Source organism: Homo sapiens, chromosome 5 (genome assembly GCF_000001405.40).
Source record: "Homo sapiens chromosome 5, GRCh38.p14 Primary Assembly".
NCBI lineage: Eukaryota > Metazoa > Chordata > Mammalia > Primates > Hominidae > Homo > Homo sapiens.
The window spans coordinates 5483984-5498557 of NC_000005.10; the positions used below are offsets into that span (position 1 = coordinate 5483984).

At 43.1% G+C, this 14574-nt stretch overlaps 1 protein-coding gene across 1 annotated transcript in view, besides 4 other annotated features; it reads left to right on the top strand.

Moving 5' to 3' along the window:
* The window catches only part of ICE1 (interactor of little elongation complex ELL subunit 1), a 67544-nt gene extending 61307 nt beyond the window's left edge, over positions 1–6237 (top strand). Inside the window, exons 18-19 of the mRNA NM_015325.3 lie at positions 2738–2836; positions 5166–6237. Of these exons, the coding sequence (NP_056140.1) occupies positions 2738–2836; positions 5166–5347 (281 nt within the window). The 3' untranslated portion in view covers positions 5348–6237. The remainder of the gene's footprint in view (positions 1–2737; positions 2837–5165) is intronic.
* Positions 10800–10849: a silencer, noted in NCBI's record as "silent region_15893". NCBI's record gives its function as "represses an Ori minimal core promoter by ATAC-STARR-seq in GM12878 lymphoblastoid cells {active_cell/tissue: GM12878}" and the evidence as "EXISTENCE:reporter gene assay evidence [ECO:0000049][PMID:35858748]".
* Positions 10890–10969: a silencer, noted in NCBI's record as "silent region_15894". NCBI's record gives its function as "represses an Ori minimal core promoter by ATAC-STARR-seq in GM12878 lymphoblastoid cells {active_cell/tissue: GM12878}" and the evidence as "EXISTENCE:reporter gene assay evidence [ECO:0000049][PMID:35858748]".
* Positions 13310–13834: an enhancer, noted in NCBI's record as "H3K4me1 hESC enhancer chr5:5497406-5497930 (GRCh37/hg19 assembly coordinates)". NCBI's record gives its function as "activates a minimal SCP1, AML or CMV promoter by ChIP-STARR-seq in primed H9 embryonic stem cells {active_cell/tissue: H9 hESC(primed)}" and the evidence as "EXISTENCE:reporter gene assay evidence [ECO:0000049][PMID:30033119]".
* Positions 13835–14357: an enhancer, noted in NCBI's record as "H3K4me1 hESC enhancer chr5:5497931-5498453 (GRCh37/hg19 assembly coordinates)". NCBI's record gives its function as "activates a minimal SCP1, AML or CMV promoter by ChIP-STARR-seq in primed H9 embryonic stem cells {active_cell/tissue: H9 hESC(primed)}" and the evidence as "EXISTENCE:reporter gene assay evidence [ECO:0000049][PMID:30033119]".

The following is a 14574-nucleotide window of genomic DNA, read 5'->3' on the forward strand; positions in this document are numbered from 1 at the left end:
GACTTACTTTCTGTGCAGGCCTCAGCTCTGCTGGGGCTCCCTTGACAGTGCTGGGGATTGCATTGTCATGGACGTTGAGATTAGCTCCTCATTTCTTATTTGTATTCTAATACGGCTGGATGGCCCTGGAGTGTCCTCACATACCTTCTGTGGGGAGCTCTTCCTCCATCATGGCCAATCTGTCATCTCTGTCAGGTCATCGTATATTGAGTCTTTTTCCCCAAATCATCTACTAGACTCATGATTTCCTCTTATTTTACTCCTTAGCTCCATTAATTTAAATCACTTATAAAACTGAATTTCATTAAGTGCTTTTAATTGAAAGGGAGCCCTTATAACATGATGATATATTTCCTGGGAACGCATGCACATCCCATGATTGAGTAATACCATAGCTGTGCTAGATGTGCATCCCTTTCTCTGCTGTTAGTCATACAGTTAATATCCGTGGTAGATTGTTCCAGAGGACAGATCCAGTGGTATGCTGGTAGCAGTTTAATCTGATTGCAAAGAGATATTTGAAAGTGGTCAGTGACCTGAAATTTCTGATTTCTGAAGTAAATTACTTTTCAGTTTCCTAGGCTCCCTAGAAATTATTCAGATATTTACAATATCATCTTACATTGGGAGTTATCCTGATATTCTTTGATCAGTAATTATGTACTGAGCATCTGCTGTGTATCTCAATATTCAGGCTGCACGTACCTAGCACTAAGCTAGTTCCTGTAGAGGATACAAAGTAATGCAAATTACTTAAGCGTCCCATGCCTCAGCTTCTCCACATTTAAAATAGAGATGAAACTCATATGCTGGATCCACATATAGACCTGTGGGACACTTGTAGTATTGAGAGAGAATGTGAACACAGAACGCTGAGCATACAATATGATACTGTTGTAAAAGCACATCCAAGATATGTTCGCAATTCTCCTACTTAGGAGTCAAAAGAAGATGAGGATTTGCCTGGATGGAGGGAACAGGATTCCACTTTGAAGCAAGTTCTCATCCATAGGAGAGCTCCTGGAGTAAGGGAAGGCTGCGAGTGTAGGGGAATGGGGGGAATGATGCCATCCTGCTTGCTTTAGCCTTTGGGGAATTTGGTTGCCCTGTGATCTCCATCCTTGGATCTTTGGTTCTCATACCTGTTAGTTATTATTGAGAACCCTCAAAGAACTTTTGTTACTCCAGGTTACATCTATCTGTATTTACTTTGTTAGTAATTAAAAACTCAGAAATTGTTTATTTAGTTATTCATTTAAAATGAACAGTAATGAACCCATAAATGACGTTTTTAATGAAAGATAACTATATTTCCAAAACAAACAAAAAATAATGAGAATCGCATTGCCTTGTTGCAGACCTTTGTACTGTCTGGTTTGATATCAGATGGCTGATTTTTCATTATCTGTTCTGCATTCATTCTCGTGTGTTTTTCATATCCGTAAGACTGAATATATGAAGAAAACCCATTCTCATACAAATACACAGTTAATGGAGGGCAGAATCTTTTACTAGCCTTTTCAAATACGGATATTCTTTTTTGATGCTACAATAAAACTCAACAAGTAGTAATTTCTTAAAGGGTACTTGAAGTGTGAAATCTGAAATGCTGTCAGTGAGCTTTTTATACCTTGTTACACTAAAATCCATTGAGCTAGCTTAAATGTTGAAGGGATCCTTTTGCCCACTTATGATTTTGTAACCTGCATTATTCACTTGGAAAATAATTGATTGACATAGATCTTCGAAATGCCAACAATACCCAAAAATCACATTTAATATCACCAATCTCATCACAGAAAAGTCTTAAATATTGTAAAGCTGTCAAGCTCAGGATAGCTGATGAAAATTGTTCCAAACTTTTAATTTTGCTTAAAAGCTCAGATGTTATTGACCACGAGGATAAAGTTCATTTAAGTTACAGGTTCACTTTGTTTATTGTTGAAAAAAATCTGCGTTGTTCCAGTTAGCCATAGTTTGTCAGTTCTTTCAATCAAAGGTGGTGTCCTATGAGAAAAAAGCGCCTAATTTCACTCACAAGACAAACAATTGGATAAGTGCATTTCTTCACAACAACCAGTGTACTCAGTGTATGGGGGAGTGCTTCCTGTGCCGTCTACAGCATGTTACAGAGTTCTGTGCTTAGGGGTCCAGGTTTAGTGAGAGTAATTGTGACTAAGTAAAATTGGCTTTTTGAGTGTGAGCACCTGGCAGTGGAGAATAACTCCCATTTAGCGAGGTGCCACTGTCTTGACTTGCACTCACAGTCCGGTAGTTTGATCTGCTGTGGCTTTTGCACCATCAGACCACATGTCAGCACTGGGAGGAAGGCACTTAACTTCTTAGCATTGTTGTGAAGTAGTTTGACTTAGAGGACACTAAGGTTTCTGTAGACTACACTTGAGAATTACTGCTCTGTGGTATAATAGCAGTTGCCAAAGTGTCAGACCAAAAATACATATTTTGGTGGGACCATAGTCTTATCTTTGATCTGTTAACTTAACAGAAGTCAGGCGTTTCACATTGGCCCTACTGAAACCATTCTTTCTTCTAAATTCTATTTATTCCATTGTAACTTGGAAAGCAACACATTGTATATCATCTGGTATAGGTGATTGCAAGACGAAATGATGAGGCATTTTGATCACCTCTTGTAAGAGAAGTGGACCTTTAAATTCTTAGGAAAAGTTAATCAACATTTAACTGGACTGTTTACATTTTGGTTTGTTTCCCCTAGGTCGTTTAGGCCAATTGGGTTTGAAAGAAGGATTTCCATCTGCTGTGAAAAATATTAGTTCGGTTATTGGTATGTTTATACAGCATGCTCACGATGAAGGTAAAACTTACATCTATTAAAATTACTTTTAAGTAACTTGTGTTTCTCATAGTTAAACCTTTTTTGGGGTCCTTGCTGTGTGCTGTGCTCTGTGCTTTGCTTGCTGCCTCATAGATTAGGGAATATTTGCAAAACATTCCAGCATTAATATTGGAATGTGTGTGTGGATTTTGTGGTGGTATTTGATTACTTAAATAAAAGTCGTTTGCCTTGTTGGGCACTGCTTTCCTAAGGAAGAAGAAAGTCTCTTCTCTTCCTGCGGCTAACATTCTGCCTCTAAAACTCTGTACTGTGTGATCCCTGACAAGTGACTTAACCTGGGCTCTCTGCGAGGCCTCCTGGGTGGAGCTGTGTCTTGACGGAATGAAATCCGTGATGTACAGTGAGATGCCAGGTATCACAGAGTACTTAGCATCAAGGGGGGAGAGCTTGGAAACCTGGAGACCTTGTGAGCAAGGCTTCGTAGTGGGGATTTCTATTATCATTTACGTATTGCATAGCATGTAATTTTATCTCTTGTGGGAGAAGCTTAACTCAAAGTAACTCTTATAAGGGATGAATCTAGTTTTTATTTTGAATATTGTATAATCAAGGAATAATACAGTTAAGCAACATGCCATCAGAAATGCACAGAGTTACATTTTAAATACTGTATAACACCCAAGATGATCTTAACATGGTAGGTTGTCTTCAGCTTTCAGTGGGAGACTGTATATTTAGCTTAATGAGAACAGTGTTTCTCATTTAAGCTGCTTTATCTGAAATACCTTCTTTAACTTTAGGATAGCTGCTGAAGTGGTACACATTTCTTCCATATTACAGTGTACTTTTTTACAATTGAGGTTGTATATTGACATAAAAGAAAGTAGCCAGAATAATGGCTAATGAGTTGTTTTGCCAGCAGATGCAGTTTACTCTGATACTACAGTGGGTGTAACCTAGAAGCTGTGGTAATCCTCGTCCCCATGAGGGAGAAGGAGGAGCTGATGTTGGGGCCTGCTATAGATTAGACCTTGTGCATGGCACTGCCCCACAGCCTAACGGGATCCCCAAGACAGCCATCTGAGTGGATGGCATTGTCCTTCTTGTATACAGGAGGAAACCAAAGCTCAGAGAGAAGAGTGATTTGCTGAAGGTGAGGCTAGGAAGTGCCATCCCTGCTGTTTGCCCAGGTCTGTCCCTCTCCAGAGCTAGCTCTTTAAATAGTGCCACATGCTGTTATTTATTAAAATTATTTTTAACCTCTTGTGTTTCTCTTACTGTTACACTTTTTTATTTGTTTGAGTCATGGCCTTACTGTGTGCCCCGTGCTCTGTGCTTTCTCATTGCTTGTGGTTTATGGGGGGGAGTAATATTAAGAGCTGCAGTTGTGCCTGCTTGTCAGCATTCATGTTTGAATGTGTGGGCTTTTGTATTATTTGAAATAGTGCTAGTTTACCTTGTTGGAGAAAACTGAGGTACACATTGAGTATATTTTATTTGAAATGCTTGGGACCAGAAGTGTTTTAGACTTCAGATTTTCTTGGATTTTGGAGTGTTTCCTTTATATTTATGAGTTGAGAGCATCCCTAATCAGAAAATCAGAATGCTCCAGTGAGTATTTCCTTTGTGGGTCATGTTGATGCTCCAGAAGTTTCAGCTTCGGAGCATTTTGGATTTCAGATTTTTGGAGTAGGAATACAGTGCAACCTCCAACTTTAACTCCTAAATTGTTTAACCTAAATTATCTAAGTAAATGAAATTTTCATAACTCTGAAATAAACTTACCTTAAAAGAGAACTGTGATAATACACTGTAATGTATAACTTAGCTGTAATCCAGAATCATACACTGTAGTTTTTGAAAGTATGGTACGCTACAAAAAGTTTTTCATTATATCTCTTATTATGTTTTCTCATTTCCAAAGTCCATTTATAAATGCTTCCCGTGGATATCTCATAGAGTCATATGTTTAATGAAGGTTTTAGGATCACGTTTTATTAAAACTTAAATATGGGAGTGTGATCCTTCCAGAACTGTTTTGGGAAGCTCAGTCGTGGCCGTGGGTGACTGGGATCTTGGAGGCCCTCTCCTTTTTAAAAACACACAAACAGTCCTCAGAACACTGCTGGGGCCAGGAAACTACAGACAGCTACTGTCTGGCTTTTCTTCTTTTTTATTTGTGGACAGGTCTTAAATGAATTTTTTTACTGTGGGTTTTTTTATATTTAATTTTCATTGCTGGCAGAAAGCATTCTGTATTTGAATAGTATTCCAGTAGGTTACATCACTAAAATTTTGAATAACAGATATTTTCTTGTTTTATGACTGATCTGAAATTTCTTTTCAGATATACCATGGGGTATACAGTTAGCAGCCGTGTATGCTCTTTGTGACTTGAGTCCCAGCAATCCAGCAGAAATTTCCAAGATCCTGGAAGCTTGGCGGAGAGAGGCCTCCAAAAGCGTTCCGTCTGCGATTGTCAGCTGCCTAGAGGAAGTCAGTGCCCTGAGCACAGAGGAGCTTGGCTGACCTGGGATGCCACTGAGGCTTGAGAAGTGCCTTGACACATTTTGAACACAAATAGTTTGATCAGCTTTCAGAATACAAAGGGAGGTTTCAAAACAAAAAGACATAAAATAGATAAAACAGACCAGAGGCTCTCCTTATTGTTTGGCAAGGAGACAGGAGAAACAAGCAGTCGCATAGTCGTTTTTCCCTAAATCTAATACGTTTCACTTAAGGCTGTTGTGATCTGTGACATATGGGTTATATTATTGTGTCTTTGTCAAACAACAAAAACTTGAACTTAGCCCTTTTTTTGCTGCAGAAAGTGTCCTTTTAGTGGCTTCTTAAAATTGAGTGGCATTTTATAATGAACTTACCAATATAAAAACATGATTTGGTTCCTGAGCTGTTGTTGTTGGACTTGTGTTCCAATGAGTGACTAGGAAAAAATAAATTGGCAAAAACCTAGAGTTTTCTGCTATCTTTGCTGGAAATGAGTTGCAAAAGTTTTTCTCAAGATGTAGTGCGTAATTGATCAGAGCAAAACATGCAGAGCCCTTAGCAGAAACCCACTTTAATGCATTTTCTTCATATCCCTAAAGTTCCTTAAAAATATGTGACAATGCATCAGGAAGAGGAGAACTGAAGAGTAGAAGTTCCCTTGCAGATTTTTTTATCAGTGACATGTAATGAGCAATTCACAGATGAGCGCAGGCAGAGCTCTGTGTGCCGTGTACATATGGACCGTGCTATGATGTGTCTCACATTGGATGATATTCCACTTTGGGAATTTTAGTATTTGTATATAGAAAATGGGTTTAATAACTCACCATGGTTTTGATTTGTCTTATATTCGTTATTTCTTAAAACTCTTGTATGTGTTTTTATAATAAAAAATAAAAGTAAGCCATGGATATTACTGTTCTGATTATTAGAGTGAAACTGGGTGTTACTTCTGCTCTACCAAGGGTGAAGAAGACATCTAACCAAAGATAGAAGAAAATGGTCATTCCTAAAGAGACCTGCCTTCTGGTGATAGAAACATTGCATTGCCAGTACTTACCCAGCTTTGAGTATTTACGGAGATGCTCTTTAGTGATACCAGATGCCAGATAATTAAGTGTTTACAGGCCCTCATGATTGGATTTTTTGTTTAATTACAGCTGCTGCCCTTTAACAATTGCATTTGGCAGCAATTTTGTTACTCCTTCCTTAAGTAATTATAACAGGCAGAACTGAAATTTTTAAATCACTTGGTTGTCCTTTCGGAAGCTTTGTGTTGATAGTCATTCTTACTACCAATATGTTGAACATACTCTGCCAGGTGCCTTGCTGGGAGGAGCTAGTCACATGGCATTTGGGTAGAGGAAAATCCTAAACGAGTGGTCACCCAGTATATACAACAATCATAAATTGGGGAAATAGCAACAAAGAAAACCTGGAGCTTTGCGTATAGAGTAGCAGGGTAGATGCCTCTTTCCACATCGTGGTCGAAGAGGATCTCTCTGAGGAGGTAACATTACAAGGACCTGGATGGAGGGACCCAGACTTGAAAGCAGGCAGGAGGAATGTCCCTGCTGGGGCAGCCCTGCAAGGCAACAATCCCATGAGTGCCAGAAGGAGTCTGCTGGAGCCAAAACACCTGTCACGTGTCCATGGGATCAGGTTAGATAACTGCCAGTCACTCAAGACAGCTGGGAGCACTTTCATGCTGAGTGGCATCTGAGGCTCCAGGGAGATTGAGTGGAGGTGTCACGTGCGATAGTTCACTGGAGCTGTTCTGATGAAAAGGGATGTGAGAAGGGCAAGAGGTGAAGTGGAGAGACCTGTTAGGAGGCGACTGCAACAGGTGGAGCTGGGAGCTGACGGTTGTGAGGGTGCAGATGACAAAGGGCAGATGGACTTCACATCTATTGGGGTAGAATTGATGCTGTGTTCATGAAGTTCCGGGGAAGAATCAGGGAAGACGTCCAGGTTACTGAGTTGAGCACCTGGAGTTGGGGATAGATGCACACAGGTTTAGGAATTACAGGTGGTAGGAATCACGACTCGAGCTTTCCATTTGGGACATGGGAACCATAAGACCTCCAAGGAGAGGTGGCAGGGAACCTTTACAGGAAAAACTATATAGAAGGGATGTGACAGAGCTTTGGAAGTTGATAGCATATGGAGACTACTTAAAGCTCTGTGTGTGTATTTCTGCGTTCACCTAGGGAGAAAAATAACTTCCCCCCAGTCCCTCCTATAATTTGAAGTGCCATGGGAGAGGGAGAAGATGAAAGACGGGGCAGGAGGTGTTTTGGGAGGAAACTTGTCAGTCATGTATTGTCCAGGCACTTGGCTACCGATGTGGCTGGAAGCTGCAAGGTCAGGTGAGGTGAGTGACCTTGGTGAGCATCTCCCACATACTGATGGGCTTGGAATGGGTGGCACAGGGAGTGGGAAGTAAGGAAGAGAGAAGAGCAGGGCGTGGTCCACTGAGTTTGTGGAAATTGTGCTTAGTGAGTGGATTTGTCAGGTGGTTCAAACATGTTAAACCTCAGCAGTCGTATGTGTTTTTAATTAATGGAGAGGAGGGGCACTGTCGTTTATTAGCACCCGTGCTGACTTTTGCTTGCCATACTTGTTCCTTGAGTTTACTTGGCAGCATCCACTCCATATGAACTGATGACGACAAATAATAGGCTTGAAGTTGCCCACTGTACTGTGTTATCCCCAGAGAGTGGAAAGGTTTTAAGCTGTTATTAATTTCTAGTACCGAAACAGAACATTATTTTAACGTTTTATTACTTGAACCAAAAAAAAAGACTAAAACTGTAAACACAAAAATGAACACTTTTCAGCCTGGAGTTAGATGAGGCTTTCAACTGGTGCTTGGCGGCTCAAGCTGGTTCCCCTGCAGCTTGATAAGCCTTTCAGTGCAGAGGTAAGCAGGAGACACTGAATCAGGCTGCGCTGGGCAAAGGCAGAGATTCTCGGAGCGTCTGCACATGATGGTATTTGCGTGGGAAGCCAGGGCAGCAGTGAAGAGGGTGAAAATGGTCAACAGAGTGTGGACGGACAGCAAGATGATTACACACTTCGGAGTGTCATTTTTCACAGAGAAAGTACTCTGTTACATTGTTTGTTTTTTAAAATAGGATGTGGCAGTGTAATTCAGCAAGTTCAATATTTAAGGAACATGAAATAGAAATAAATTCATACCTGGACTTGGAAAGAACTGCACTGTAGCCATTAGAGGGCACTGTAGACTCACCCATGAACAAACCATCCGGAAGAGACAGGGAACCTTAACTGGAGAGGTCGTCTGGGTGCAGAATTTGGCGCTCTGAGAGCCTTTCTATCAGGGAAGCATTTCCATTCACGTTTGGGGTGTTCCTTGCACTTCCTAGGGCCATTATTAATAAGTAAATGGGGAAAATGTGTGGATAGAATAACATGTAAAGTTCGTGTTTAAGAGCACATTTCAAAAAAGAAAAAAGCAAATACTTAAGTCCTTTGATCAAAAAACAACAAGAAGAAAGGGAAGGAAGGGAGAAAGAAGAAAAGAAAGAGAAAGAGAAAAAGAAAGGAAGGAAAGAGGAAAGAAAAAGAGAAAGAAAAAAAGAGAAAGGAAAGAGAAGGAAGGAGGGAGGGAAGGAAGGAAGGAAGGAAGGAAGGAAGGAAGGAAGGAAGGAGGGAGGGAGGGAGGGAGGGAGGGAAGGAAGGAAGGAAGGAAGGAAGGAAGGAAGGGAAGGAAGGAAGGAGAAAGACAAGCAAGTGACCAGGTGAGTAATTGGTAGTGGCAGTGAAGTGAATGGCAGGTTGTGTCACTCTCCTCTGATGAACTGGCAGGCAAAGAAACTAGTCAATTAAGTCATCCTGCCCACATTGAACATTACTTTTTTCAAGCATCCCTGACGCATTATCTTGTGTAGAACCATATTACAAAGAATTTATAGTGCGAATAGAGCTCACACCTGGAAATCTAATCAACCGCCCTCATTAAGACTTAGGATGCAACAATGTTTCAATGAGGGGTGTTTTAAAAATTTAGGAGAAAGTTGAAAAAGTCAGATCTATAAACTTGTAAATGCTTTCCTCTCTTGCTTGCTTCCATCTACCTGACGCTTTCTCAAGGAAATTCAGAGTGCATAATTGTGAAACAAGAAGTTCATTTTCTTGCCCCTCCAAGGGGAATTTTGAGGAATTAAAGCGCCCTCACTGTATTGTAGTCAGTTTGTTTTGCACAACGAAATAGGTTCTGATGACAGAGGCAAAAACAGAAGTGTGAGTGAAGAGCCATAAAAATGATATAATTCAGTTTTCTATGAAAATGAATGCTTTTGCTTGCTTTCATGAAGAACTTTGTGTTTTTGTGAAGGACGTTAGTACCTTGGAATGCCTTGGCTCAGGCCACCTTGTCTTCCAAAGCACACAAGATGTGTCTCATCAGGGTGTCAAGGTGCCAGCGTTCACCCTGGAGCCCAGCTCTCATCAGCCATTCTCTTAACTGCACCTTTCGCGGGGCCTGTCGGCAGTGGGGAGCCTAAATCACACCTGGCTTCTTAGGACTGGAGATTCTAGAGCTTCACCCAAAACCCTTGAGTTTGAAACTCCGGGGGTGCCTCCCGGTGACATGGATGCCCCCAGCAGTTGGGTAGACACTGCCCAGTAAGTTCTCTGAGCATTGCGGCCTGCTCTGTTCTGCACCCGAGGTCTGCTCACCCTCCCCCTGCCTGAGCGGCCTCTGCCTTCTCAGCTGCTTTCTGTCTTCAGAGGGTCACAGCTCTGGTCTCTAGATGGCTTTCCCCACCGTCCCATCCCTTGATCCATTTCCATGGAAATTTGGAAAGAGGAGAAGGTAAGCTGTTCACTGCCTTCCACCACCTTGAACTGAATCCAGTCCCTAGCTGGTTTTGTTTTTAATTTTTCCCATAGTCTTTAAGAATATTACTTTTTCCTTAACAGTCATCAATTGCTGCTCTGAGATAACCTCACCCTAAATTACGAGTACACAACTGAAAAACTCAAAAGGGAAGGCGAGGAGCTGAGAATGTAAACCCTCAACTACCAGACCTTCCACAGCCATAAACGGACCCTCCTAGGTATTGTTTCTCTGTATTAATTATTGTTATACTATATCCATTTTAATAGTTTCACTTGTAATGCAATATATACTATTCTTGAATAGCCTCCTCTTGCCTGTGTATTATTGTATGCATATAGCAAATTAAACATTGAAACGGGTCGGCACTGGAATGCCCTCTCCCTGTCGCCCAGGCCCTGTTCTCCCGGGGCTGCACTGACTGGCGGGTCTTTGGCTGCCCTCGCAGAGATGCCCGGGCAGATGGAGGTCTCAGGGCTGAGGACACCGCCTTCGTAGCCCCGCCCTGGCGGCCCCGCCCGTAGCCTGAGGCCCTGAGGCCCAGCGGCCCCGCCCCCGCAGCTCCGCCCCCGCAGCCCCGCCCCTGCAATCCTGGTACCCGAAGCTGCGAACCCGCAGCGCAGGCCCAGCCTCCGCAGCGCCATCTCTGCAGCCCAGTCTCTGCAGCCCCGCCCCCGCAGCCCCACCTCCGAACCCACAGCCCCGCCTCCGACTCTGCAACCCCGCCCCGCAGGCCTGCCGGCAGGTGCCTAACAGTGACCTCGCCGTGCTGCACTCCCTGCGCGTTGGTCACTTACAGTCGTCGCAGAGGTGGATAAAACTTGAGGTGCCTCCTTCTGCCCTCTTCAGCTACTTATTCCTGCCAGTGCATACTCCGGCCCTGTGCGTGCGCTTCCACTGGGGAAGTTGTCCCCTGGGGTGGAAGGGTCGAGGCCTCCGTGGGCTTCGGGTTACTTGGGGAAGCTCGTGACCCTTGGAAGCGAAGCTGCTGGGCAGGCTGCGGGAAGGCTCGCTGGCGCGGGGCTTAGGATTTGGGATGCAGGAGCTTCCTCTAGGGGTGCGCCTCCTGGCTCGCCGCCAGGGACCGGGCGCTGTCAGGCCTGAGGCCCCTGTGCCCCAGATCCTCCACGGCGGCTGTGCTGGAACCCCACACTTGCTGGACGTGTGTGCCGGGATCCCCGAGTCCAAGCCAACACCAGCGAGATTCTTAAAACTATCCTTGGTAAAAATGTAGCAAAACCTCAAATAAAGTAAACATTTTGATTTTTGAATAATAGTCACATTTAGAATATTGCAACAGTTTTGTAAGAAAATAACACCTTGAAATGTTTCAGGAGTTGGACTTCAGAGGCAAAAGCATGTTTGCGATGAGGTAACCTGTCTCGGTGTCTTTGCATCCTGCTGTGCCCCACCGTGTTTTGAAAGAGGGTTGCAGAGTCACTGACCCTGTGGGATGGCCAAACTGCACATGCCCAGCGCTCTGCCCGCCCCAGGGCACCTCTCCCACCTGCCAAGGAACCTGCTCCCACCCTGACCACTCGCAGATAATCCAAGACTCACTATATCTTAATGGAAAACCACAGTCACATTGGCAAATGTTTGGACAACCCGAATCTGACCTCCAGAAAGGAGAGCCCCGCGCACCCCCTGCTCAGGAAGACTTGGCTGTGCGAGTGAAAGTGTGCAGCTGTGAGGAGAAAGCCCTTCCTGGCCTGTTGCCCTGTATTTTCTGACCACTACGTTTCCTTTGGTTAAAAAAAAAAAAAAAGTCTCTGGAGAAAGATGATAGAGTCCTTTATTAAAAGGCATTTAGCCTACAGGAATGTCTTCTGCTAAATGAGGTTCTCTGTCAGCCCTACAGCTGCCTCAGACATAAAAAAGGTGTATGGGGAAAGCTCCAGGGTCCTGAGCCTATCGAACAGGTGATCCTGAGCCACCCCAGCCATTCCAGGACGCTCCCATTAGTCACTCAGAAGCTGTTCATAAGCTTCTCTTTCAAATCACCCCTCGTGTCCCGGGAAGAAGGGGAAATGGTCTACAAGGCGGAAGAACCTACAAATTGTAGGATGTTTACTTAATCCAGGGCCTTGTTAGTGTGGAAACACATCTGTAAATGCAGAATTGAGCTCACAATGCCCTGGCAGCAGCGATGCTCTTTAGAGCTGTGTCGCTGTGTTCCAGGAGACATGTGTTCGCCAAGGAGGAGAAAACCAAACAGGACCCTGTGCCTACCTTAAAATGCGAAAGTGCTTTATGAAACAATGAGCTTCTCTTGCAGGTCATTCTCCAGAATGCCAATTACATACTTATTCTTCCTGCTTGAGAAACGGGAAACATATTCCGTTGTCCAGGAGAGCCATCTGCATTGTGGTTGCTGCACCTTCATGGAAGGAGGGAAATTGTGACTTGCAGTCGAAGCCGAGGGTTCCAACAACTTTTGTTCTGAATTTCTGTAACGGAGGGCCATCCTTTATTTGCATGTTGAAAATCTGTTTGTTAAGTCTGCAGTGGAGCAGAAAATAGAATTTTTAAAGCACTCTCTCCTGACCTTTTCTATTTCGTATTTTTTAAGAGACAGAAATTTAACCCCTATCACATTGGCAATCATCCGGAATAATGTTTTAAATGCATCTTTGTGTTTGTAAAACTTGCTTCGAGATGAGAAAGTAAGTTTTCTGGATTTTGACGCAGTTTTGAAGTGCAGCATGTTAATTTCTAAATAGAAGCACTGGCATTGGATAAACTAAAGTAACGTGAATATAATTCTAGGAACTATAAGCTTACTTTCCTTATTTCTGGCTTTCTTTAGCTCTACGTATCTATTTTTTAATGCACTTAAGAAAAAAGCTATGCAATTGTGAAGGGTTTTTTTTATTATTATTATTCACAGGTTGAGGTTCATTTTGTCTTTCATCTGACAATTCTTTTCATTTAAATTCCACAATATGCCCGAGTGAGCAAAGAGAAAGGAGTCAGGGAGACAGAAATCTTCAAACTAAAACAAACAAACAAACAAAAAACATGCTATGCCTGGCTTCCCAAGCTGATTTTTTGGTTACTGTTATTACTAACCCCATACAAGTGTTTTTAGTGGGAAATAATGTTGATTCAGTTCCCCGGCTCTGGTGCCCACGTGAGCCCTGCAGCCGCCTGTCCTCCCCAGCAGGGAGAGCTCTGCGCTTTGATCATGAACCCTGGCTCTCAAAACGGTTCTTTCATATGGAAGCTCTCCTTCTTCAGACCAAGAACAGGCTTAGGAAAGAAAAGAAACAAAAGGCGTATTTCAAATCCACCCAATGCCATCTTTTTTCAAACATGTTCCTCATGTATATTTCAAAGGGGCCGTTTCCACAGAAGCAAAGACTGCATGAGCCAGTGGCGGCAACGCTTCTAAAGCGCTTGAGAGGGAACTTCCAATAAAGAGCTTTACAGACAGCATTGAGAAATTAGATACTTTTCGAATATTGCAACAGTTTTGTAAGAAAATAACACCTTGGAATGTTTCAGGAGTTGGAGTTCAGAGGCAAAAGCATGTTTGCGATGAAGTAATCTGTCTCTGTGTCTTTGCATCCTGCTGTGCCCCACCGTGTTTTGAAGGAGGGTTGCAGAGTCACTGACCCTGTGGGATGGCCAAACTGCACATGCCCAGCGCTCTGCCCGCCCCAGGGCACCTCTCCCACCTGCCAAGGAACCTGCTCCCACCCTGACCACTCGCAGATAATCCAAGACTCACTATATCTTAATGGAAAACCACAGTCACATTGGCAAATGTTTGGACAACCCGAATCTGACCTCCAGAAAGGAGAGCCCTGCGCACCCCCTGCTCAGGAAGACTTGGTTGTGCGAGTGAAAGTGTGCAGCTGTGAGGAGAAAGCCCTTCCTGGCCTGTTGCCCTGTGTTTTCTGACCACTACGTTTCCTTTGGTTAAAAAAAAAAAAAAAAAAGTCTCTGGGGAAAGATGATAGAGTCCTTTATTAAAAGGCATTTAGCCTACAGGAATGTCTGTATTATTGTGATAGTGATTATTAAAAAATAATCGCAATATAACTTGCCTGGAATTGTTGTTGTTAAAAAGGGTTAGGAATACTTGCATGTCTTTCAGATCGAGGTGGAAAGGGGAGCACCTATAGTTTCTCATGGCTTCATGGGGCTCCTTGCACCCCTGGTAATTGTCTTTTGTCTTGGTGTAGCAATTATGAAACAAGACAAGTGTATCATAAATCATATTTTTATAAGAGTCATCCCCAAATTTTTGGTAGGGCTTAAAACTTTTTTTCGACACAAAATACAGTGCCCCCAAGAAATGTCCATTCAGATAATGAGAATTTGACCTCACAAGACATTTCCGCTCAAAAGACATTTCTTGGGCTGGGTGCGGTGGCTC